Source organism: Homo sapiens, chromosome 9, assembly GCF_000001405.40.
Source record: "Homo sapiens chromosome 9, GRCh38.p14 Primary Assembly".
In the NCBI taxonomy this organism is placed as follows: Eukaryota; Metazoa; Chordata; class Mammalia; order Primates; family Hominidae; genus Homo; species Homo sapiens.
Genome location: NC_000009.12, coordinates 136,375,524 through 136,400,178, shown reverse-complemented (window position 1 = coordinate 136,400,178; position 24,655 = coordinate 136,375,524). Strand labels below are relative to the sequence as shown.

The following is a 24,655-nucleotide window of genomic DNA, read 5'->3' as shown; positions in this document are numbered from 1 at the left end:
TCGAGTCTGCAGTCGCCCGGGCGACGGCGGGGTCCGCGCGGCCAGGTAAGGTGTGCGCCCAGCAGGTGAGGCGCGGGTGGCGTCGGCAGCTTCAGGGCTCTCCCCGTGGAGGGGGCGCTGTCCCGAGGAGCGGATAGCCGAGGCCCGGGACGGGGGCGGGGCAGCGCCCAAAGTCGGGGAAACTGAGGCCCGGCGTGGCCCCCGTCCGGCCGAGCCTGGGCGCGCGGGGATTCTGGCCCTGGGAGCCCCTCGGCTGGGAGCGGGCTGCGGGCTCCGAGGAGGCTCCGGCGGGGCGGCCCCGGCTGCAGGGCGCCCGCGTGCGTCTCGGGGACTGCGCCGGCGATTCCGCGGTGGCCGAGCCTCGGAGGGGGTTTCCCCAGTTCACGCAGCGAGCAGGAGGCGGAACTGGGCCTGGGCCGGGTCTGTCTCCCAAGCCAGTGCCTAAACGCCCATCGTCCTGGCGCATCCTGGGGTTCCCTGGGCCCAGCCGAGTCTGGGTGGCGTCCCCGCAGCTGGGGCTGGAGGGACCGCCTGCTGCGCTCCGTCTTGGTGGGCAGCCCTCATGACCAGCCCTTGGGAGAGGGGTGCGGGGAGAGGGACAGCCCCTGATGTCAGTGGCTCAGCACGTGTGACTTTGACCTCCTTCCTGCTGATCATTGCTCACCTGAGCGACACGGGGAGGGGGAGGCAGCAGCCTCGTGTGAGGCTTCCAGAGGAAAGCGTCTCCGCCGGCCCGGAGGCGCTGAACCAGCCTGCGGTCGCTGCCAGCTCTGCCTCTGGCCGGCTGTTAACTGAGTTTACAGGTTCACAAGCATTTCGGGCATAAACAAGGGGCTTTGTGAAGGAGTGAGGGGACCTGGGCTGCTGATGCGGCTAACGGTGCTCGCGGGTGGATGCTTTGGTTTTGTTCCAGTTGGGCAGGGCCCCAGTCAGCCTCCAGCAGGGAGAGCCACGCCAAGGACGGGGGAGGGCGTTTCTCTTTGTTGTTGGGTGTTTTGGGCTCCCGGGTCTGTGCTAGTGATTCCTTTAGATTTTCTCTGCTAATGTTTCATTCTCCCACTCTCTCTCTAGCGTCCTTCTCCCTTCAGACTTCCTGGACCACAGTTCCTAAGAAAAAAGCTTGACAAACATTTGTTAGTGTCAGGCACTGCCACGTTCCAGGCGTTGTTCTGGATGTACAGAGAACAGCCAGCCTTCCCTTTGGGAGCTTCCTTCCCAACCATGCTGTTAGTGCCTGCCACCTGGGCAGTCTCAGTGTGTGTCTCTGTGAACGTTTCTCAAATGCCCTCTGTGGTCCGGCTCTGTGTCATGGGAGAGCAGGATGGCCAAAGTGGGTCACGGGCTGTGTCCTTGCCCTGTAGTGACTTTGCCACTGCACCCCACACCTTCTACGCTGGGTGGCCAGTTTCCATGTGGCTTGGTGTGGGAGCAGAGACGGGACAGTGGGGCCTGTCCTTGTTCATCCACTCCCTGCCTGTGCTGGTTGCAGCCTCAGAGCAGGCGGGAGATGTTCTTGGGGCTTAGGCTCCTGGCAGAGCACATAGCAGGAGTTTGTGGGGTCTGAGGTTCCTGTCCCAGGGTTCCCCGATTCTGTGCCTGGCCTATTAATCTTTCTCTGGGGAGCCCAGTGCCCACTGCCGAGCAGGCTCCTGCCATCCCCCATGGGCGGGTGTGTCTGAAGGAGAATGGGATCCCGGCACGGTCTTGGTTTCTAACATCTCGGGGTGTGTTTTGGAGGCAGGCGGGAGTCATGGATGTAGATGCTGAAAGAGAGAAGATAACACAGGAGATCAAGGAGCTGGAAAGGATTTTGGATCCCGGCTCCTCGGGCTCCCACGTGGAGATCTCAGAATCAAGTCTCGAGTCAGATTCTGAAGCAGGTAAGCCCCTTGTACCTAGCCTCCTGGGGTCCTGGTAAGAACAGCTGGTCTGCCTCCTGGGTTCCTCTCAGGCACATTAGGGAGTGATGGTAGCCGGGTGTGGTTTCTCAGGCCTGTAAACCCAGGGACTCCTGAGGCTGAGGTGAGAGCATTGTTTGATCCCAGGAGTTCATGTCCAGCCTGGACAACGCAGCAAGACCCTGTCTCTAAAAATAATAATAATAATAATAAACGATGGCTGGTGCTGCTTGGACCAGACCCAATTTTTTGCCAACACTGGTGTCTTTCTGTACTCCAGCCAGAGAGCTTCTGACAATTCCTCCTTTGCTAGCCCCTGAACCAGCTGGCTGTGTGTGTACACTGGGCTCTAGGCATCCCAGGGTCTGGGCCTGGCCTCCTTGGGCCTGTGCAGGGCTTCTGGAGTGGACCATCCTGGGAGGAGGGGGCAGGCCTGAACCTCACCAGATGGCAGTCTGGACAGTCCATGCCTGGATGGTCAACACAGCTCACACCCCTAGGATCTCTTCTTCTCACATGTGCCCCTCCCCACGTGCTCCCCACCCCAAGTGCTCTCCTCCCCACGTGCTCCCCACCCCACGTGCTCCCCACCCCACGTGCTCCCCTCCCCACGTGCTCCCCTCCCCACGTGCTCCCCTCCCCACGTGCTCCCCACCCCACGTGCTCCCCTCCCCATGTGCTCCCCACCCCATAGGCTCCCCACCCCACAGCCTCTCCTCCCAACATGCTCCCCTCCCCACATGCTCTCCTCCATGCTCCCTTTAGCTTCTGAGCCTACCCCAACCCCACCAGCTGCTGCCCTGACAGGAGACCCCCCCAGCCTTGCTTCCCACCTCTCCCAGACCCAGGGCCTGCCTCTGAGGCAACCTGCTATCTTTCTCCTGTGGTGAGGGCCTCTACATCCGTGCCTCCCATCTGACCGGCTAAGCTCCTGAAGGAGAGGTCCGTTTTCTGCTAAACTTTCCCTGTCTCTCCAGTAAAGATAGCTTGTGCCATCCAGTGAACCCTGTGTAGCTTTGTCCTGTGTGCCTGGAGGTCCCCAGTGTGTGGTCAGAGTTTTCTCTATCTGGCTAACCCGGCCTTGGTCCAGTGCCCACCCCGCTGTCAGGGAGGGAAGGTCCGCTCACCGCCAGCCTCAGCCTGAGGCGCTGTCACTACCTCACAACCCCAGGTCTGCCCAAGAAGCAGTGGTGAGCTGCGCCCCCACCCTGCCCAAGACGCTGGTTACCAACACGGTGTTGCTTGTGTTTCTGACAGATTCACTGCCTTCTGAGGACTTGGATCCTGCCGATCCCCCGATCTCGGTAACTGTTGGCCTGATCTGGCTGTGCCACTGGGTCAGGCCTGCCACCACCTTCCAAAGTAGCCTGGGAGGGGGCGTGGTTTGAACCCATATTGGTTTTTCTGCATTATAAAAATGATTCACGTTTGTTATAAAAAAATTAAAAAGCATTTGTCATTGAAATTGTCCCCAGAAATAACCACTGTTAACAGCTTGGTGATCACACCCCTTGGGTTTTTTCTGAGCTCATTGCTGTATGCCTCTGTCTCCTGTGTGGCATCTGTCACTTGCGGAAAGCTGTGAGTTGTGCACCTGCGTCCTGCCCCTCACAGCTCGCCTCTCTGTGCCTCAGATTCCTGTGGGGCAGCGGGGACGTTTACAGCACAAGTCAGTTAACACGAGCAGCTATACAGAAATTAGCTGGTGCAGTGGCACGTGGCTGTGGACGCAGCTACTTGGGTGGCTGAGGCAGGAGGATCACTTGAGCCCAGGAGGCCGAGGCTCCAGTGAGCTGTGATTGCACCACTGCACTCCAGCCTGGGTGATGGAGTGAGACCCTGTCTCAAAAAAAAGAAAAATACACAAGCACCCAAACAGCACCTGGCAACTGCTCTGTGAGGCCAGTGATTATTTTATTAGCTGCCTTTTGTTTACTTTGGAAAACGTTGGCGATTTGCTGCTTCCTTTTTCTGCAAAGTTAGTGGGTACTGAGTTTCCTCATGTTTGCGTGGCTGTGTGGTTCACCTTCTGTGAGTGAGCACCCTGCTGTAGCCTGTGGGCACCTCACCTCCCAGTGGGCATTTTCACTGCGTCCACTTCCTGGCTCTGCAGAGACTTTCCTCCCACACAGGCTTGCTCCCCGTGCTTTGCTGGTGATGCACACGACAGGGGCTCAGGACAGAGTTCAGGGTTCACAGGACGCCTGTGGTCCTGGAAAGCTGCCTGCTGCCTTGCAGCAGCCGCAGCCCTGGCGTGTTCCAGGTTGGAGGCTCTGCCTGCCGTGGATTAGGAAAGGCGCACACAGGCCGCCTTGAGAGTGACAGGCTCCACTCCCAAACTCAGACGCCCTCCCGCTGCCCACCAGGGTCACTTCCTGCTTCCACATTGGGTGTTGCTATGCCAGAGCTGCCTCGGTGTCCCAGAGGCCCAGCGATGGGCGACTGGCTGCCGAGGACAGGGGAGCATCCACGTCTCATCTCGTCACATGCCATTTCTGGCTCGTTACCAGGAAGAAGAAAGGTGGGGCGAAGCCAGCAATGACGAGGACGATCCCAAGGATAAAACCCTCCCTGAAGACCCAGAAACCTGCCTGCAGCTGAACATGGTCTACCAGGAGGTCATCCAGGAGAAGCTGGCTGAGGCCAACCTGCTGCTGGCCCAGAACCGGGAGCAGCAGGTGGGATGGGCCTCGGCCCCCCGGTGCCCACACCTCCCCACCCCCAGAGCCCCCCACAGCTGGGCCTCCCAGGTCCAGGGCTCCCCAGCTCCCTGCCTCTCCTCTGCCCCGGGTCTCCTCCGCAGGGAGAGTCATTGCTGCTGGTCCATAGAGGGGTCCCTGCCTTGTGTCTGTCACAGGAGGAACTCATGAGGGATCTGGCTGGGTCCAAAGGCACCAAGGTGAAAGATGGCAAAAGCCTGCCCCCAAGCACATACATGGGGCACTTCATGAAGCCGTATTTCAAGGACAAGGTCACGGGCGTGGTGAGTGGCCGAGGCCCTGCTCTTGTCGGCAAGGCTCTGCACCGTGGGAAGGGTTCTTGTCCCCAAGTCCTGCTGCAGGGAGTCGTGAATTCCTGTGAGTTCAAGATAACATTGGCCAACCTCCTTCAAACTGCCTCCTCCGTGGTGGGCAAGCTGCCCTCTGCTCTGCGCTGGGCTGCCAGGACTGCCCTGTGAAGCGATGAGCAAGCCCTCGTGGAGGTGCCAGTGTTGTCTGTGCGAGGCCTGACCTCATCAGGCTTCATGGAGTGGCCGGCAGGGTTGCACCCCCACAGCCTCACAGTACGGGAGAACAGGAGGCAGGGGGAGCCCGAGTCCTTTTGTGGGCTCTGGAGGGATGTGCTGGGCCTGCAGGGAGCACATGTGGCCTGTGCTTGTGGTGATGCCGTGCACCCTGACAGGGGCCACCTGCCAACGAGGACACACGAGAGAAGGCTGCCCAGGGGATCAAGGCTTTCGAGGAGCTCCTTGTGACCAAATGTAAGAGCCCTGGCCGGCCCTGCGGCACCCCTGAGCTTGGGACACCTCCCCATGGCCCTCCTTTCCCCAGTTTCTCCCCAAGTTCTCAGACCTCTCTCTGTTGTGACCTCATGGCTCCTTCAGGCCTTGACCACTGGGACTGGCCCCTTGACTCCTGCCTTTCCACACTGAGCAGGTCCTTTCCAGAACACCAGTCACGAGGGGCTAGCCAGGCCGCACCCCACCCTCTGGCTCAGTCTCCCCGCCCTTGTCTTGGGCCGCAAAGCCCTGTGGCTTTACGTGTGAGCTGGCGCCAGGCCTCGGGTGGAGCTCTGTCAGCTGGGTGGAGGGGCCACGTCAGTAGGTCTGGCGTGCTGCTTACTCGCTGTGGGGCCCCCCACCACTGCCTCGGGAAGTGCACACCAACCGTGGGGGCTGGGCCGTGGAGAGGATCCAGACCCCCAGTGATGATGCTGTGGCTTCTCCTCAGGGAAAAACTGGGAAAAGGCCTTGCTCCGAAAGTCAGTGGTGAGTGACCGCCTGCAGCGATTGCTTCAGCCCAAGTTACTGAAGTAAGTCTAAAACCATAAGTCAAAAACGGTCTTCAGGCTGGGCATAGGGCTCATGCCTGGAATCCCAGCACTTTGGGAGGCCAAGGCAGGAGGATCTCTTGAACCCAGTTCAAGCCCAGCCTGGGCAACATGGTGAGACCCCATCTCTTCAAAAAGTAAAAAAATTAGCTGGGTGTGGTGGTGCACACCTGTGGTCCCAGCTACTCGGGAGGCTGAGGTGGGAGGATCGATTGATCCCAGGAGGTCAAAGCTGCAGTGAGCCATGATTGTACCACTGCGTTCCAGCCTGGGTGACAGAGCGAGACCCTGTCTCAAAAACAAACACAACAGCCTTTCCTGGCCAACAGGAAAAGCCAAGGCTGGTTGGTTTGGGCTTGGCAGAGGTTCAGCTTAGCTGTATGCCCGTTCTCTGCAGCGGGTCTTGCCAGGCCATGGAGAGATGCTCATGCCTGGACTTTATGCCCCTTCCCCATGAAGGGGGCTTCCCCATGGCCGGGCGGGCGGCTAAGCGCAGGATCAGTCCACACAGCCACGATGAGGGGTGTGGCTCGGGGCGCGGGGTCGGTCCACACGGCCACGATGAGAGGTGTGGCTCGGGGCATGGGGTCGGTCCACACGGCCATGATGAGGGGTGTGGTTCAGGCAGCTTCTCTGGGCTTCCCTTTCCCATTCCTGAAACCTGCTGTTTGCTGATGGGGTGATAATCACGTGACCAAAGAAGGCACAGCACAGCCTTACTGTCCGCACTTGATAGAAGGCGCTGCTGTCCTGATGACTTTGGTCAAAGACAGAGCTGCTCCCAGAGCCCAGAGACCCAGCAGCACCTGGTTGGCCACTCAACAGCACAGCAGGTCCCCATCTGTCTTCTGTGGGGCCACCATGAGCTCTCAAGGCAGAGGGGGTGCCTTTAGAATACAAGCTGCCAGGGCATCTCTGGGCACTGAGAGGGCTTTGGCCATGCCAGGGGTCCCGGGTCCCGCCTGCCCCCCGTGGCCTGATGTGCATGGTCAGGGTTTGCAGTGATGACGGTGGGTCTCTCCTCAGGCTCGGGGAGAGCTGGGTTTTCCTCCCTGGCCTGCTCTGGGGAGTGGTTCTTTACTGTGGCCTCACAGCCTCTGGCCTCCTCACTGGGCACCAGTCAGGATATCTGCCTACGGCTGTGTCTCTGTGCCAGGCACAGGCTGGGAGCTGGGGCACTGAGGCTCCGGAGGGCTGTGGCGAGGCTCTGAGACACGGGGGCCAGCAGGCGGTAGCCTCTGTGTCAGCAGACACTGCAGCCCTTCCCACCCCGGTGGCAGCCTGGAGGTGGGTGCTACAGCTTCCCTCATGGGTGAGGAGGCCGAGGCAGGGAGGGTGAGGGAGGCTCGGAATCTCTGCTGAGCTCACACTCCTTGCCCTGTAATGTGCAGAGAACCTGCCCCGCCCCGCAGCCCTCGTGCCCCAGCCCTTCTGCCTCTGCTCTGCTTTGCAGGCTCGAGTACTTGCACCAGAAGCAGAGCAAAGTCTCCAGTGAGCTGGAGAGGCAAGCCCTGGAGAAGCAGGGCAGGGAAGCCGAGAAGGAGATCCAGGACATCAAGTGAGGGGGGCCTCCCGGGAGGGCCCAGGGGAGCCCACAAGCCAGGCGTGGTGCCAATACCCTCATCCCTTCCACCAGCCAGCTTCCAGAAGAGGCCTTGCTGGGAAACAGGCTGGACAGCCACGACTGGGAGAAGATTTCCAATATTAACGTAAGTCAGGGGCAGGTCTGAGCCCCAAGCAGCTTGGAGCACAGCTCCCTGTAGCCCGGGTGCAGTTGGAATTGGGTGGTAAGGCCACACCCTCCCTGGCAACAGGTTCTGCTGTGACCCCCCACCCACCCGGGTCAAGCACATGTCCCACAGTCGGGAATGGCGAGTGGACTCACGAGGGCCTTCAGGCTGGTGCACGGCCCTTTCTGAGATGGTCTGGAGGGCTCCCGGCCTTGCATCTGGAGCCAAGTCTACATGTTTGGCTATGCAAGGCCTAGTGAGTTGGACGAAGATTGCGCTTACTTGCAGCCGTGGAAGCCTCCAGCTGGCGGAGAGCAACAGCTCAGCCTGGAGCTGCGTCTAGGGTGCCCCTGGGGTCAGTGGCCTGCAAGGCTGAGTGTCTCTGTCGGTGCAGTTTGAAGGCAGCCGCAGTGCAGAGGAGATCCGGAAGTTCTGGCAGAACTCGGAGCACCCCAGCATCAACAAGCAGGAGTGGAGCAGGGAGGAGGAGGAGCGGCTGCAGGCGATCGCGGCTGCACACGGCCACCTGGAGTGGCAGAAGATTGCAGAGGAGCTGGGGGTAAGGGCCTGGCCTGGACCCCAGGGGCCAGGAGACCTGAGGGCGTGTGGGCCCTATAGCGGGAGGCTGCTGGACGGGTGCGGGGTCCCCAGTGCTCACTCACCGCCAGGTTTCTATGTGTTGCCACCTCCAGGCTGTGGCCCTAGGGAAGGAGCCTGCCCAGCCCTCTCTGCCACTAGGCCATTGCCGCAGCTCCTCTGGGCCTTCCCAGTCCTCCAGGTCTCCCCATGCAGCGGTGCATGCCCAGTTTACCGGAGTTTGTCTCCTTTCTTATTTCTAGTCTTCTTCTGTCTCCATCAGCCTCGGGAGTTTATTCTGTTGATGTTTCTAAAGCGCTTTTTCCTCGTGTGAGTTCTTGCCGCTTTTCTGGTTTCCTGAGTAAGGACTCAGTTCTTTACTGACTTGGGTCTCTTGTCTTGATAACGAGGCTTGTTAGGCCACCCTGAGAGTAGCTTGGCGTGAACTCTTCTTCTCATAGATTTCCAAAGTAGCTCTAGTTTCCATTTTTATTGCCTCTTTGGACCTAGGTGTATCTAGGAGTGTATGTTTCCGTTTTTAAATAGTTGGATTTCTGGGAGTTCTTGTGGTGGTTCTTTATCTGAATTTGATTGGAACATGAACTAGGGGCGAGATGTATAAAATCTCCATTTTTCAAATATATTTTACTTTTTTATGGCAGAGCACCTGATTATAGCAGACCCAGCTAAACTTGCCAAAACTGTTTTTAAGAAAAAGGTATGTTCTCTGTAAGTAGGGCCTACTCTATATCAGCTATTAAATTGAGTTTGCCTTTAAAGATGCTTAATTCTGCCGGGCACAGTGGCTCACCCCTGTAATCCCAGCACTTTGGGAGGCCGAGGCTGGCGGATCACCTGAGGTCGGGAGTTCAAGACCAGCCTGGCCAACATGGAGAAACCCCGTCTCTACTAAAAATACAAAATTAGCCGGGCGTGGTGGCGGGCATCTGTAGTCCCAGCTACTCGGGAGGCTGAGGCAGGAGAATGGCGTGAACCCGGGAGGCGGAGCTTGCGGTGAGCGGACGTCGCGCCACTGCACTCCAGCCTGGGCGACAGCAAGACTCCGTCTCAAAAAAAAAAAAAATAAATAAATAAATACAAATCGGTTTTTCTTCTATGTATATTTTACTGCTACATAGTTTGGTACACATAACTTTTTTTAATCGGGGTCTGCTTTCTTTTTTTCTTTTTTGTTTTTCATATTTTTTGAGTTCAGGGCTGTGTGTGCAGGATGTGCAGTTTGGTTCCGTAGGTGAGCGTGTGCCATGGTGGTTTGTTGCATAGATCAGCCCATCACCCAGGGATTCAGCCCAGCTTGCGTTAGCTCATTAGCTCTTTTTCTTTCCTTTTTTTTTTTTTTTTTTTTTTTTCAAACAGAGTCTCACTCTGTCGCCCAGGCTGGAGTGCAGTGGCACGATCTCAGCTCACCGCAAGCTCCGCCTCCCGGGTTCACGCCATTCTCCTGCCTCAGCCTCCCGAGTAGCTGGGACTACAGGCGCCCACCACCACGCCCGGCTAATTTTTTGTATTTTTAGTAGAGACGGGGTTTCACTGTGTTAGCCAGGATGGTCTCAGTCTCCTGACGTTGTGATCTGCCGGCCTCAGCCTCCCAAAGTGCTGGGATTACAGACGTGAGCCACCGCGCCCGGCCCATCCCTGTATTTTCAGCCTTTTAACAAATCGTCATTTCCAAGTGTTTTCATGAAAGCAGCGTGCAGCTGGGTTTTGCTTTCCCACCCGCCTGACCAGCCTCTGGCTTTGTGGGAGGGTGGGTGTTCCTGGTGTCCTCCTGGGTCTGGTGTGTCGAGTCCGTTTTACTTTGTGGCCTCTTTTCCTTCCACTCTGTCTTGCTGGTTTGATGAAACTGTAAGTCCGGTTTTTCTCCTTGTGATTTTTGGGAATTCAACTGTCTTCCATCCATTAATGGCTTTTTCTCCTTCGAACACATAGTCAGACATGCTTCTCTGTTAATATCAGAAAGCGTGACGCCAGCACTTTCCCCCGCCAGATTCTTTCTCCTTCCAGGGAAGTGTTTTTAGTCACTGTCAAGAAAAGCCAGGCTAAGGCCTCAGCAGCCTCCCTCCAGCTTCACTCCAGCCACCCTCCAGCCCCCTTTGAGAGCTGCTGCTCTCAGCTACCCGAGCAGGGCCCAGCTCTGAATCCCGCCCCACCCCCCAGTCCTTTGCCTTCCCAACTCCTTCGGCAGGCTTGGGATGGGTGTGAGAAGGGTCTCTCTTTCCACTGGTTGGGAAGCGCCAGCTTGAGTGTAGGAGGACGGGTGAGGCCTTGAGTGTGTTATGTTCCCAGAAGCACTCTCTTGGGGGCGTGCGGGCGAGGCTCACACACGTTGACTAGGATTGCCCTGCAGCTTGCACACCCCGGGGTGGTGGTTTTGTTTGTGGTGAACGAGTCTCAGATAGACCTGTGATGTAGCGAGCTGGGAAGGACTTGGTGGGGAAGAAAGCCTTGGAAGCAAAACTCACAGCTCAGCGGCACCACATCCAGCTCTGCGTGCCCTCTGCCACCCAGCAGCTCACTTTCAGAAAAAGCAAACCTCACAGCACGTCCAGCCCCACGCGCCCTCTGCCACCCAGCAGCTCACTTTCAGAAAAAGCAAACCTCAGAGCATATCTAGCCCTGTGTGCCCTGTGCCACCCAGCAGCTCACTTTCAGAGAACAGGGTTCAGGTAGCACTCATCAGCTCTTGGAAAACCCCTTGAGAAGATGAGTGAGGAAAAGATTTGGGCAGATGGTCCACTGTGTGGACTGAGGGTGGGTTTGCTGAGCCGAGCCACACAGGGAAGCTGGGAGAGTCATTTTGGGGCACTCTCTTCTGAGGGCGTCTCCTGAGACATGGACACCAAACCAAGGGCTGTCCCGTACCTCCTCCACCCCATACCCCTTAGCTGAGAGATACTCTAGAGCTCGAGAAGGGAGAGAAGGTGCTAGCAACTGCATTTAGAGAGCATGCCACATGCAGAGCAGTGCGTCTCCCAGCCCTTGCCAAGCTGGGAGTTTCTGTTGAGTGAGTTGCAGTGTGGTTTTGGAGTCATATCAGTTTACCTATTGTGAATTTTTCTTAATATTTTCTTAAGTGAAGGTTTGATTCCTCTCTCACCTGGTCCTTCCTGGTCCTATTTAGTGAGTGTATTGTCTTCCTACCGTGGGGTGCTCTCCATCAGCCCACAGGAGTCTGGGAGGAGGAGAGCTGGGGTCTGCAGAAGGGTCACCCCAGTGGCTCATGGGCCCACCTGTGCCCTGGGGCACTCAGAGCCAGATCTGGACATCCTGCCGCGCAGTAACACTCATTTGCTTTTGTTTGGGCCTGGGAAGACCAGCCGCAGCGCCTTCCAGTGCCTGCAGAAATTCCAGCAGCACAACAAAGCTCTGAAACGCAAGGAGTGGACAGAGGAGGAGGACCGCATGCTCACGCAGCTGGTGCAGGAGATGCGCGTCGGCAGCCACATCCCCTACCGCAGAAGTGAGGCCCCTCCACCCCGACGGCTCTCAGGCTGTCACAGGGCCCCATATCAGGACACTGGAGACTTGCAGGGAAAATTCACAGAGAAGCAACAAGACAGACGAGGGCTTAGACAGTCCTGGCTGTTCCACAGTTCGCTTCTTGGTGACTCAAGTGACTTTTTTTTTTTTTTTTTTGAGATGGAGTTTCACTCTTGTTGCCCAGGATGGAGTGCAACGCCATGATCTTGGCTCACTGCAACCTCTGCCTCCCGGGTTCAAGCGATTCTCGTGCCTCAGCCTCCCAAGTAGCTGGGATTACAGGCATGCGCCACCACGCCCAGCTAATTTTGTATTTTTAGTAGAGACGGGGTTTCACCATGTTGGTCAGGCTGGTCTCGAACTCCTGACCTTAGGTGATCCGCCAGCCTCTGCCTCCCAAAGTGCTGGGATGACAGGCATGATGCCACTGCACCTGGCCAAAGTGATTCTTTTCTATGTGACCCATCTGGAGGGTGGGTGTCTCGGCCCCACGGGACCCTGTTGTCCCTAGCTGTCTACTCTATGGAGGGTGTGTGTCTCGGCCCCACAGGACCTCCCTGTTCCTCTGTCCCTAGTTGTCTACTATATGGAAGGGAGAGACTCCATGCAGCTGATCTACCGATGGACCAAGAGCTTGGATCCTGGTCTGAAGAAGGGTTACTGGGCCCCGGAGGAAGATGCTGTAAGTGTGCGGGACCCTAGGAGAACTGGGCTCTGGGAAGGTAACGCGGCTGTGTTCAGCGGCTGCTGTGCCCCAGTGGTCCCTTCTCTGACTGGGTTCAGGGTGGGGAGGCTGCAGCCGTACCTGCAGAGGCTTCACTTGTCTGCCTGTCCCTTCCTGCAGAAGTTGCTTCAAGCTGTTGCCAAATACGGGGAGCAGGATTGGTTTAAAATCCGGGAAGAGGTGCCAGGTAGGAGCGATGCCCAGTGCCGAGATCGGTGAGTCGCACAGCGCTGAGCGAGGGAGGGGCCCGTGTGGGTCACTGACCAGGTGCACTCTGGTGTGGGCTGTGGGCGGGCTGGGGGACAGCGGCCAGCGCTGGGCGAGGGAGGGGCCCGTGTGGGTCGCTGACCAGGTGCACTCTGGTGTGGGCTGTGGGCGCTTGCTTGCCAGGGTTGGCCCGGCTGAGCTGTGTTTTCCAAGCCTGACTTCTGTATTGCTGTCTGCCGGAGCAACGCATGGGCTCCACTTGAGACAGCTCCCTGGGCGGCTTTTCCTGACCCTAGTTGTCTCAGTTCTCTCAGAATGCTGATAGGCAGGACCTCTGGGCACACAGCTGCAGCTCCCTCCTTTTCCTGCTTATTTTCCTTTCAAAAACAGCTTCGTTGAGATAATTCACACACCATGCGATGCGTTCATTTAAAGTGTATATTTCCGAAGCTGGGCGCAGTGGCTCACGCCTGTAATCCCAGTACTTTGGGAGGTCAAGGCAGGCGGATCACTTGAGGCCAGGTCAAAACCCCGTCTCTACGAAACCCCATCTCTACTAAAAGCACAAAAGTTACCCGGGCATGGTGGGGGTGGCGCCTGTAATCCCAGCTACTTGGGAGGCTGAGGCAGGAGAATCGCTTGAGCCTGGGAGGTGGATGTTGCAGTAAGCTGAGATCACGCCACAGCACTCCAGCCTGGGTGACAGAGCAAGACTGTCTCAAAAAAATATTAATTAATTAATTAAAATGAAGTGTAGAAGGCCAGGTTCAGTGGCTCACGCCTATAATCCCAACACTTTGGGAGGCCGAGGCCGGCGGATCACCTGAGGTTGGGAGTTTGAGACCAGCCTGACCAACATGGAGAAACCCCGTCTCTACTAAAAATACAAAATTAGCCGGGCGTGGTGGCACATGCCTGTAATCCCAGCTACTCGGGAGGCTGAGGCAGGAGAATCGCTTGAAACTGGGAGGCGGAGGATGCAGTGAGCCGAGATCACGCCATTGCACTCTAGCCTGGGCGACGAGTGAAACTCCGTCTCAAAAAAAAAAAAAAAAAAATGAAGTGTAGAGGTAGAGGTCAGTGGTTTTTAGTATTTAGTATTCATTGAGCTGTGCAGCCATCACCACAATCAATTGTAAAACATTTCATCACCCGAAAAAGCCATTCAACGACAAAAACAACCCAATCTAATCGCGGGCAAAGAACTTGAGTGGCCGTCTCTCCAAAGAAGATGCACAGATGGCCAGTGAGCACATGAAGAGATGCCTGGCGCCATGAGTCATTAGGGAAGTGCAAGTCAAAACCACACACGCGTTGGGATGGCTGTTAATTAAAAAAAAAAAAAAGTCACCGTGTTGGCAAGGATGTCGAGAAATTGAAACCTTTGTGCGTTGTAAAATGGTCCAGCCTCTTTGGAAAGCATGGCAGTTCGTCAGCGAGTTAAACATAGAATTATACCCCCAAGATTGATAAGCATAAAACCCAAAAGAATCGAAAGTAGGAGCTCAGATACAACAATGTCCACAGCAGCATCATTCACAAGAGTGAAAGGCCGGAAGCAGCCCAAGCATTCATCAGCAGATGAGTGGAAAATAAAATTTTCATACAAGGGAATATTATTCGGCCTTAAAAAGGGGTTGGCAGGGCTCGGTGGCTCACGCCTGTAATCCTAGCACTTTGGGAGGCCAAGGCGGACAGATCATGAGGTCAGGAGTTCAAGACCAGCCTGGCCAATATGGTAAAACCCTGTCTCTACTAAAAATACAAAAACTAGCCACACATGGTGGTGGGCACCTGTAATCCCAGCTACTCGGGAGGCTGAGGCAGGAGAATCACTTGAACCTGGGAGTTGGTGGTTGCAGCGAGCTGAGATTGCGCCACTGCACTCCAGCCTGGGCGACAGTGAGCCTCCGTCTCAAAAAAAACAAAAGGGGGGGGAGTGGGATTCTCATATAAATACCGCGTTTCTGTAAATTCTGATACAACATGGATGAACCCTGAAAACATTCTGAACATTTGCTTGCACTTTTTTACATAGATATCTGTTTATTTCTCTCAGCTATATCCTGCGAGTGAAATTGCTCGGTCCGGGTAACGCTGTGTTTAACCTTTTGAGGAATGGCCAGACTGTTTCCCAAAGAGGTTGAACCATTTCGTATTCCCACTAGGAATGTATGAGGGCTCCGGTTTTCCACACTCTCACCAGCACTTGTGATCTGTCTGTGATTCTAGCCATCTTAGCGGGTGTGAAGTGGTGTCTTGTGGTTTTGACGTGCGCTTCCCTGTGGCTGATGTGGAGCCTCTTTTCATGTGGTTGGTGACTGTTCATAGAAATAGGTTTTTAGAGAAGTGTCTGTTGAAGTCCTTTGCCCATTTTTGACATTACTTGTCTAGTTATGACTGACTTGTAAGAGTTCTTCATATGTTTCAGATATAAGTCCTTTATCGGACACGTGACTTGCAAACGTTCTCTCCCAGCCTGTACACTTTCTACTTTTTTGATGGTGTCCTTTGGGACACAAAAGCTTTAGCTTTTGATGAAGTCTACTTTATCTGTAGTTTTCTTTTGTTGCTTGCGCCTTTAGTGTCATATCCAAGAAACCATTAAAGAAGCTTGGGGCAGCAGCGGGCGGCGTCTCGGCATCTAAAACGTTCTTTGCTTTTCATGTCACGTTCAGGTATCTCAGGAGATTACATTTCAGCTTGAAAAAGGGTCGGTGGAATTTAAAAGAAGAGGAACAGTTAATTGAATTAATAGAAAAATATGGTGTCGGTAAGTTGCTGACAGTTTGTTCTTCTAGTTTCTTTTTTTTGTTTTTTGTTTCTTAGAAAAGAGATCAAGATAAAGACAGAGCAAGCTCTGTCGTCCAGGCTGGGGTGCGGTGGTGCGACCATAGCCCACTGCAGCCTCAAACTTTTGGGCTCAAGCCATCCTCCCGCCCCAGCCTCCCAAGTAGCTGGGACTGCAGGTGTGTGCCACCACACCCGACGAGCTGAGTGTTCTGTAGCGAAGTCTTTGCTTATATTTGCAATGTCCCCTTAGAGTAAATCCTAGCTGTGGTATTGCCACGTTCAAGGACACACCAGATACTGTGGCTCTGCCCTGTGAGAGCAGCACCCGTGCTCCTCCTGCTGCCCCACACTGTGAAGAGCGGGAATCGTGGGAGGTGGCTGGTGCGGAAGCCTGGGGGGAGCAGATATGTGAGGGCCGTGGTGTGCGCTTAGGACGATTTTTCCTTCTCAGTTACATGTTTGGCAGAACTTTCCTAAGGGGCTGAGCATCCAATGAGAATCAGATGCTGCCAAATTGTAGGCACCCAACATGCTTGACCCCCCAGCGTGAGAGTGCACAGGAGGCTCCACTCTGATGGGGCCACGGCGAGTCTCCTGGGGAACAGCAAGCCTGTCCTGGGGAAGAATCTTTGGATGAAGGCATTTCCATGGGGTTTGGCTTTTGCAGGTCACTGGGCAAAAATAGCTTCTGAGCTGCCCCATCGGTCTGGCTCCCAGTGTCTGAGCAAGTGGAAGATCATGATGGGGGTGAGCCACTCGCTCCTTCTTTATCTGAAACCAGACAATGGCCTGGTCAACTGGGGGGTCCAGCAGGCAGGAGGAGGGGAGGGGAGGGGGGCGTTCGGTTTCTGGTCTTGGCATTTCTTCTTCTGGGTGGCCAAGGGCAAAGGGAGACCCTGCCTCGGCAGCGGCTGCTCTTGACCCCGGAGGCGCCCCCGCTTGGGCCTCTCCCCAAAGGGCTGGCCTGCTTGCTGCCATCATGGGTGAACCGGGCTTGCCAAGGCCTCTAAGTAGCTCTTTCCTCCCCTCAGAAGAAGCAGGGTCTCCGGAGGCGGCGGCGGAGGGCCCGTCACAGCGTCCGGTGGAGCTCTACCAGCAGCAGCGGCAGCAGCAGTGGCAGCAGTGGAGGGAGCAGCAGCAGCAGCAGCAGCAGCAGCGAGGAGGACGAGCCAGAGCAGGCGCAGGCCGGGGAGGGTGACAGAGCGCTGCTGTCCCCACAGTACATGGTCCCGGACATGGACCTGTGGGTTCCTGCCAGGCAGAGCACCAGCCAGCCATGGAGAGGAGGGGCAGGGGCCTGGCTGGGAGGCCCCGCTGCCTCCCTCAGCCCTCCCAAGGGGTCCAGTGCCAGCCAGGGCGGCAGCAAGGAAGCTTCCACCACAGCCGCGGCTCCTGGAGAGGAGACGAGTCCGGTGCAGGTCCCTGCCAGGGCCCACGGCCCTGTCCCGAGGTCTGCCCAGGCCTCCCACTCAGCAGACACTCGCCCGGCGGGCGCAGAGAAGCAGGCCCTGGAGGTAGGCCCCGGCCCTGGGTGTACCACGGGAAGTGCACTTTCGGCACTCGCTCGCCAGGGCTGACGCTTGGGGATAGTGCAGCAGCAGGGGCCCCAGGGTTCGTGTGCATCAGAACGTGCTACTTCTGGCTGAGCTCTGGACAGCTGTGCGTCGGGGGGACTGTTGGGGAAGCCTCCATTTTTCCTGGCTTGTTGACTGTTTCAGGGGTATGGCTGAATGGGCACTTGGACCTGGAGGCATTTCTGAAACATTTCACCCCCAAGCCAGGGTTGGGGAGGGCAGAGGCAGCAGTGGGAGGAGCCCCTCCTCCCTCCTCGTGAGCCTGTGCACCTGGAGGCCCTCCCTGGGAAGGGCCTGTCCACCTGCTTGGGACAAGCCTGGCTTGTGGTGTGTCTGCTCGTCTTGGCTGGTCTTCACCGTGTCAGGCCCATCTCTGGCCATGTCTGTGGGAGCAGTCAGAGTTGAACAGGCTGGTCTGTCCTGGGAGTCATTGGCAGGGACAGTGGACACTGAAGCTACTGGCAGAGCTAGGTGCATGGGGCTCGCTGCTGCACAGCCAGCATCTCCCTAGGCCGGGGCGTCACCTGGAAGGGCTGCTGCTGTCAGCCTGAGGAACTGGCTGGGGGGCATGGGACCCTGTTAATGTCCCAGGAGCCAGGCCTAGCTGGGAGGCCCTGCCTGGGGAACCCACGCTTCCCATGGTGGACGTTCCCATGAGGCAGAGCAGAGCTGTACACAGCCACGCTTTGGAGCCTGGGTGAAGAGGCAGTCGTGTGTGGGCAGCGAGGGGAGGGCCCCCATGTGTCCCGTACACCCCGCGTGCCTCGCCTCAGGCAGCTTTCTCATCAGGGTGGGAGGCGTCTGCTGACAGTGCCTGTGGAGACCGTGCTGAGGGTGCTCAGGGCCAACACGGCTGCTCGGAGCTGCACACAGGTGAGGCCTGCTGCAGACACCCACGCGCACGCCACCACGTGCCCCGCCCTGGTCTGAGTGATTCCTCTCCCCGTCGATCATGCCCTGATGGGGGTGGAGGGCAGCACTGGCCACTGGGCAGGGTCCACTCCGGGGGCCGAGCCTGGCCATGGGCCCCAGGTGCTGCCTTCTCCTTACAGAAAGAGCAGCTGAGGCAGCCACCCCTGCCCACCTCATCCCCAGGGGTCAGCTCTGGTGACAGCGTGGCCCGATCCCATGTGCAGTGGCTACGGCACAGAGCCACCCAGAGTGGGCAGCGGCGCTGGAGACACGCTCTGCACCGGAGGCTCCTGAACCGCAGGCTGCTGCTGGCTGTGACCCCTTGGGTAGGGGACGTTGTCGTGCCCTGCACACAGGCTTCCCAGAGACCCGCCGTAGTGCAGACTCAAGGTATGGCCTGGGGCTCCTCTGGGAGCATCCTGGGGGCGAGGGGTGAGGATGAAGAGTACATCCAGCCTAGCAGACGGTGGCTACTTGGGGAAGTGGCCTCAGCAGGGGAGTCTTTTTGGGGTGGGCGCCACCTCTGGTCAGCTTCCCGTCCCTGAAGGTTTCCAGGACACCCAGTCACAGCCAGCCCTCCCTCCCTACCCCACCACTCTTCCTGGGCCAAGCATGTGGCAGCTTGGTGGTGACAGGGCTCACAGGGCCCACCCTTGTCCAGGCGTGGCTGTGGGGTGCTGGTTCCAAGGCCTCCCCTCCCACCCTGGCCTGGCTCCCAGAGCCGCCTCGAAAGGCACGTGGGAGCTGGGGCTGCTTTCCACCCATCCCCCTGTGCCCATGGGAGCTGGGGCTGCTTTCCACTTATCCCCCTGTGCCCGCAGCGGATGGCCTCAGGGAGCAGCTGCAGCAGGCCCGCCTGGCCAGCACCCCTGTGTTTACCCTGTTTACCCAGGTAAGCTACTTGGGCAGAGCTTCGTTTTCCTTTGCCTTGTAAAAAGTTTTTGGTGAAGTTTTGAAATCTGCAGTAGATTCATTCCTTAAAGTCTAGCTATCTAAAGTTTTCTAGCCTTGAAAATGCACTTTTCATGCCTTACACTGTTAGCAAGTGAATGTGGAAGGGGTGCCGGCTACAGTGTGCACTGCCCCCATCGGGCTAAACAGTGTCCGGGGAAGGGGGTCCCCGGGGCCCCAGTATGAGTGGAAGATGCCGGGGGAGGAGAGCAGGCCTGGGTCTCATGGGAGGCCATCCTGGATGTCCACAGCCTCATGGCCTCCCCTGCATCTGCATCAGAAGGGCAGGAAGGCTGAGGTCTCAAGGTAGCCGCCCCAGCCTCAGGGCTGCCCCAGGTTCTGCCTAGGCCTCTGGAGCTTCGGAGCTGCTCCCGAAAGCAGCTATGGTTAGGTTGCCTCCTGTGTCCCGCAGCTGTTCCACATCGATACTGCCGGCTGCTTGGAGGTCGTCCGAGAGAGGAAGGCCCTGCCACCCAGGCTGCCCCAGGCTGGTGCTCGGGACCCACCAGTTCATCTTCTGCAGGTAGCAGGCACTTGGGGTGAGAAGTGAGGATGGCCACTGCCCGCCCCGGCGTTGGAGTGGGTTTCCACGGAGGCTGGCTGCCCGCCCCACCCGCTCCACCGCAGCCCCTCAGGGAGGCATCTGCACTTCCCACCTGAGGGGACGCAGCCTTGAGAGGCCCTGGGGAAGTCAGGCAGGTGCAGGTCGGGGCTGACACTGGGGCCCACGTGCCTGTTTTCCCCCATAGCCCCGCTGGGCGGTCATGGACATGGGCGCTGTCTGCCGGGGATGCCTGGTTCTTGCCTTTCTGCTCCAGAAACCAAACTCACAGAAGTTCAGCGAGGCCTCCTCACCCTTGAGCCCCGTCACCTGGGGGTGGGGTGACAAAGCAGTGTCACTCATTGGAGGAGCAGGAACAGCAGTGGGGTACCCCTGGGCCTCTGTGCTTCCAGCCCCCCCGCCTCTCCCTGCAGACCCCACCCTGCCCCCAACCCCCCAGAAGAGCTCTTGAGGGCACCCTTAGGAGGAGCTGCACTGGCAGGGGGAACAAGGCCAGGCCTTTGCCTGCTGTGCAGGGCACGACAACGTCCCCTACCCAAGGGGTCACAGCCAGCAGCAGCCTGCGGTTCAGGAGCCTCCGGTGCAGAGCGTGTCTCCAGCACCGCTGCCCACTCTGGGTGGCTCTGTGCCGTAGCCACTGGACATGGGATCGGGCCACATGCTTGGCTCCTTCTGTGGCCCCGGAGTTCCTACAGAGGCGTGTGGGAGGCCAGCACCAGCCCTTGGGGCCTCGTCCCATTTCAGGGAGTGGCAGGGGATAGTCCAGATGCTAGGAGAGGTGGTCCAAGCCAGCAGAGGACACCTGAGCTGCTGACTCTCCTCTCTTTCATTTCCAGGCATCCTCAAGTGCCCAGAGCACCCCAGGTAACTCTGCTTCTCTGCCCTGGTGGGGAAGAGACCTAACCTGGCCCTGGCGGGGAAGAGGCCTAACCTGGCCCTGGCTTTCACCCACAGCCCCCAAGCAGCACAGCCTGTGGCCCCTGGTGACAGAGCTCCCTCGAGTCCCACCACAGGGATGAGAGTCCGGCTGGGCCAGCTTGGAGCTCCCTGGGCTCCCCTTGCAGCCCTAAGGCTTCCCCAGCATGGGGCCCAGAGGCAGGGGTCGTCTGGAGCGAGCGTCCGCCCATGCCCAACACCGGCAAGCTGGGCTGCCGGCTGATCTCAGCCAGCATTAAATGGGCTGGGTTTCCCAGAGTGCCCACTGCCCTGGCTTTGGCCGGAGCATTGCCATCTGGGGTAGCCACTGTGACTTGGGAGACCCAGGATGTGCCGCTTGACCCTCTCTTGGCTCAAGACCCCAGGCTCCCCACATGGTCCCTCCTGATGAGGGGATGGCAGCGAGGGGCTGTCCCTGGGCCAGATGCCTGGGGCTTATCAAGTGTGGGTCTTTCCTCCCCACAGGCCACCTCTTCCCAAACGTGCCGGCTCAAGAAGCCTCAAAGAGTGCCAGCCACAAAGGGAGCCGAAGACTGGCGTCCAGCCGGGTGGAGCGCACCCTACCCCAGGCGTCCCTGCTGGCTTCAACCGGCCCCCGGCCCAAGCCCAAGACTGTGTCGGAGCTGCTTCAGGAGAAGCGGCTTCAGGAGGCCCGTGCCAGGGAGGCCACCCGGGGCCCGGTGGTGCTCCCGTCCCAGCTGCTGGTCTCCTCGTCTGTGATCCTCCAGCCCCCTCTACCACACACCCCACACGGCCGCCCAGCCCCGGGTCCCACCGTCTTAAATGTACCGCTCTCTGGGCCTGGGGCCCCCGCGGCAGCCAAACCTGGCACTTCTGGCTCCTGGCAGGAGGCTGGGACTTCAGCCAAGGACAAGAGACTCTCCACCATGCAAGCCCTGCCCCTCGCTCCTGTCTTCTCAGAGGCCGAGGGCACAGCCCCTGCTGCTTCCCAAGCCCCTGCCCTGGGCCCCGGCCAGATCTCTGTGAGCTGCCCCGAGAGTGGTCTCGGACAGTCTCAGGCCCCCGCTGCATCCCGGAAGCAGGGCCTGCCTGAGGCGCCACCCTTTCTCCCCGCAGCCCCCAGCCCCACCCCACTGCCCGTCCAGCCCCTCAGCCTGACGCACATAGGAGGGCCACATGTGGCGACCAGTGTCCCCCTGCCTGTCACCTGGGTGCTCACAGCCCAGGGGCTTCTCCCTGTTCCTGTACCAGCTGTGGTGAGCCTTCCCAGGCCAGCAGGGACCCCTGGCCCCGCAGGGCTGCTGGCCACTCTGCTGCCTCCCCTGACTGAGACTCGGGCGGCCCAGGGCCCCAGGGCCCCAGCGTTGAGCAGCTCTTGGCAGCCCCCAGCCAATATGAACAGGGAACCGGAGCCTTCCTGCAGGACAGACACCCCAGCTCCTCCCACACACGCCCTCTCCCAAAGTCCTGCAGAAGCGGATGGCAGTGTGGCCTTTGTCCCTGGAGAGGCCCAGGTGGCCAGGGAGATACCTGAGCCCAGGACGTCCTCCCACGCTGACCCTCCTGAAGCAGAACCCCCTTGGTCCGGGAGGCTGCCAGCCTTCGGTGGTGTCATCCCAGCAACTGAGCCAAGGGGGACGCCGGGGTCCCCCTCAGGGACACAGGAGCCCAGGGGGCCTCTGGGCCTGGAGAAGCTGCCCCTGCGCCAGCCTGGGCCTGAGAAGGGGGCCCTGGACCTGGAGAAGCCGCCCCTACCCCAGCCTGGGCCTGAGAAGGGGGCCCTGGACCTGGGCCTGCTGTCCCAGGAGGGCGAGGCGGCCACACAGCAGTGGCTGGGGGGCCAGCGGGGGGTGCGTGTGCCTCTTCTGGGCAGCAGACTGCCCTATCAGCCCCCAGCCCTGTGCAGCCTGCGAGCTCTGTCCGGTCTCCTACTCCACAAGAAGGCCCTGGAGCACAAGGCCACCTCCCTGGTGGTGGGGGGCGAGGCTGAGCGGCCGGCCGGAGCACTGCAAGCCTCACTGGGGCTGGTGCGGGGGCAGCTCCAGGACAACCCGGCCTACCTCCTGTTGCGGGCGCGGTTCCTGGCAGCCTTCACCCTCCCTGCGCTCCTGGCCACCCTGGCCCCCCAAGGCGTCCGCACCACCCTCTCAGTACCTTCGAGGGTGGGCTCTGAGAGTGAGGATGAAGACCTCCTGAGTGAGCTGGAACTTGCAGACAGGGACGGGCAGCCGGGCTGCACGACAGCCACATGCCCCATTCAGGTAGGGTGGGCGCCCAGCCCCACTTCCCCATGGCAGGCGGCGGTCCCTGGGGTGCCCTCGCCTGCCTGGAGCAGTGGGGTGGGGGCTGGTGGAAGTTGCGGGCAGGAAGGCTGGCTGCTGGGTGTCTTAGGAGGAGGAAGCTGGTTCCTGGCCTGCCCAGTTGCGTGTAGATTCTGCAGAAGTGGCCTCCCTTTGGGGCAGTGTGGAAAAGGGGAGAAGAGAGGCCTCATTCTCGTGCAGGAGCCTCCGGCCATCCTGATGCTGCCCAGCCAGGTGGCCTTGTCTGAGCGAGAAGCTCTGGGATGGACGCTGACCCGGCTCTGAGCCGCACACGCCACACACACGTGTGCTCCCAGGGTGGGCCATGGGCACAGTGGAGGGTGGTGGCTGTGTTTGTCTCTGGATTTCTGGGGTCCCAAAGGTCCCTCTCTGCTGTCACCTCTCTGAGTGTCCTTGGGGAGAGTTTTCCAATCTCTGTAGGTGAAACCATGTTTGGAACCCTGGAAAGCATGTGGAGCTGGGGCCCCCAGAGAGGCCTCCTCCCCTGGTGCCAGGGTGCCCACTTGCAGCAGCTGGGAGGCTGGCCTCCCTGAGAAACCACCAGAAGCAGGCAGCCTCAGCTGGACCTGTGGGCCTGTCATAGGGAGTGTGGCAGAGGGCCTTCCATCTCTCCCCAGGGTTGTGTCTCGCAAGTCCCTGGGCTGAAGTGTGGGAGGAAGCAATGTCCAAGAGTTGGGGAGGACCCCGGCCAGCCAGGGGAAGAGGCCCTCTGTGCCCCATCCATGTACAGCCTCCTGCCCTGCCTGGGTGTGATGGCTGTCCCATGGGGGAGTGGGAGGCCCACCAGAGGGATGGCTTGGATGGGGTCAGAGCCCCCGAGGGAGGGAGTGCACAGTCACGTGTGGCCCCAGGAGTGCCTGGAGCAGCTCCCGCCTGAGCTGAGGGTGCCCTGTCCCAAGTGGGACACTCACCCACAGGGCCCCTCCTCACTCCCGTCCCTTCCCCGTCCATCATGGCTCGGGGGTGTCACTCTTGTCCCCACTGCCTGGATTTTCTTTCAGGGAGCCCCAGACTCTGGTAAATGCTCTGCTTCCTCCTGCCTGGATACTTCTAATGACCCTGACGACCTGGACGTGCTCAGAACCCGGCATGCCAGGCACACCCGGAAGCGGAGGCGGCTGGTGTGAGCAGCAGGTGAGTCCTGAGTGGGGAGGCCACTGCCCTACAACCCAGGGGACAGAGTGGTGTCCAGATGGCAGGGGGCCTTGGCCTCTGCTCGGCTCTTTGGCGCTCACAGCAGGTGTGCTGGGTTAGGTGGGCAGGTCCAGGGTCATGGAGGCCCTCCAGGGGGAGAAGCATTTAACCCACATCCTTCCTGCTGGCCACCCATGCCTCGGGCCTTGGCACCACTGTGCCCCTGACCATAGGCTCATTCCCTGCCTTTGGGGTCTGGGCTCCTCCCTGGCCGCTGTGCTCTGGTGGTGCCCTGTTCCCGTGCATTGCTGCGTCGTCTCCCAGCTTGTAAAACGATCACCATCCCCAACCGCAGCCACCAGGCTGGCTCTTCACTGCTGGAGCCCTGGTGCCCTGGCCTGGCCCTTGGCGCATGTGGGTCAGGTTTACCAAGCAGACTGGGCGTGGCCGGCGCTGGGGTGGTCTTGGTTCCTGTTTGTCTGTCCCAGCCCTGCTTGGGGTCTGGCTGGGGTCAAGGGCACCCCCCACCTGGTGTTCCTGTGTTCCAGGACAAGCACTTTCTCAGAAGCCCGTGGCCCTGCTGACGAGAGACAGCCCACCCCCAGCCTGCAAGAGAGGCAGCCAGAGGCCAGGTATCTGCTGGCCGCTGACTGACCAGGTCCGCAGTGAACAGAGGCGGGCCTGCCGACTGACTGTGTGGCATGGAGCATGGCTGTTCCCCAAGTGCACACCTGAACACTTGGAGGAATAAAGTTCTGTTTTTAATTGTGGAGCTGGACACAGGCTGTTGTGGTTTTGTTGTCCTGAGGTACCGGGCAGTGTACA

The 24,655-nt window shown here is 59.0% G+C and overlaps 1 protein-coding gene across 9 annotated transcripts, besides 3 other annotated features; it reads left to right on the top strand.

Annotated features, from left to right (window-relative positions):
• On the top strand, window positions 9-24,608 carry SNAPC4 (small nuclear RNA activating complex polypeptide 4). 9 transcript variants are annotated; one of them, NM_001394203.1, is made up of 24 exons: window positions 9-45; window positions 1,742-1,880; window positions 3,156-3,202; window positions 4,409-4,576; window positions 4,756-4,881; window positions 5,301-5,379; window positions 5,849-5,930; window positions 7,402-7,506; window positions 7,585-7,657; window positions 8,073-8,237; window positions 11,588-11,735; window positions 12,331-12,437; window positions 12,600-12,694; window positions 15,365-15,459; window positions 16,147-16,226; window positions 16,511-16,993; window positions 17,843-17,926; window positions 18,190-18,355; window positions 18,787-18,857; window positions 19,329-19,439; window positions 20,315-20,342; window positions 20,880-22,636; window positions 23,698-23,830; window positions 24,379-24,608. In NM_001394203.1, the coding sequence occupies exons 2-23, from the start codon at window positions 1,751-1,753 to the stop codon at window positions 23,821-23,823; spliced, it is 4,326 nt and encodes a 1,441-aa protein (NP_001381132.1). In that variant the 5' UTR covers window positions 9-45; window positions 1,742-1,750; the 3' UTR covers window positions 23,824-23,830; window positions 24,379-24,608. The 9 variants fall into 9 exon arrangements, with proteins under 9 accessions (NP_001381132.1, NP_003077.2, NP_001381131.1 ...); NM_003086.4 differs by having other exon boundaries at window positions 18,106-18,355; NM_001394202.1 differs by having other exon boundaries at window positions 1,738-1,880.
• Window positions 42-171: a silencer, noted in NCBI's record as "silent region_20512". NCBI's record gives its function as "represses an Ori minimal core promoter by ATAC-STARR-seq in GM12878 lymphoblastoid cells {active_cell/tissue: GM12878}" and the evidence as "EXISTENCE:reporter gene assay evidence [ECO:0000049][PMID:35858748]".
• Window positions 242-351: a silencer, noted in NCBI's record as "silent region_20511". NCBI's record gives its function as "represses an Ori minimal core promoter by ATAC-STARR-seq in GM12878 lymphoblastoid cells {active_cell/tissue: GM12878}" and the evidence as "EXISTENCE:reporter gene assay evidence [ECO:0000049][PMID:35858748]".
• Window positions 1,526-2,725: an enhancer, noted in NCBI's record as "CDK7 strongly-dependent group 2 enhancer chr9:139291906-139293105 (GRCh37/hg19 assembly coordinates)". NCBI's record gives its function as "activates an origin of replication core promoter dependent on BRD2, BRD4, P300/CBP, MED14 and CDK7 cofactors, with strong dependence on CDK7, by STARR-seq in HCT116 cells {active_cell/tissue: HCT116}" and the evidence as "EXISTENCE:reporter gene assay evidence [ECO:0000049][PMID:35650434]".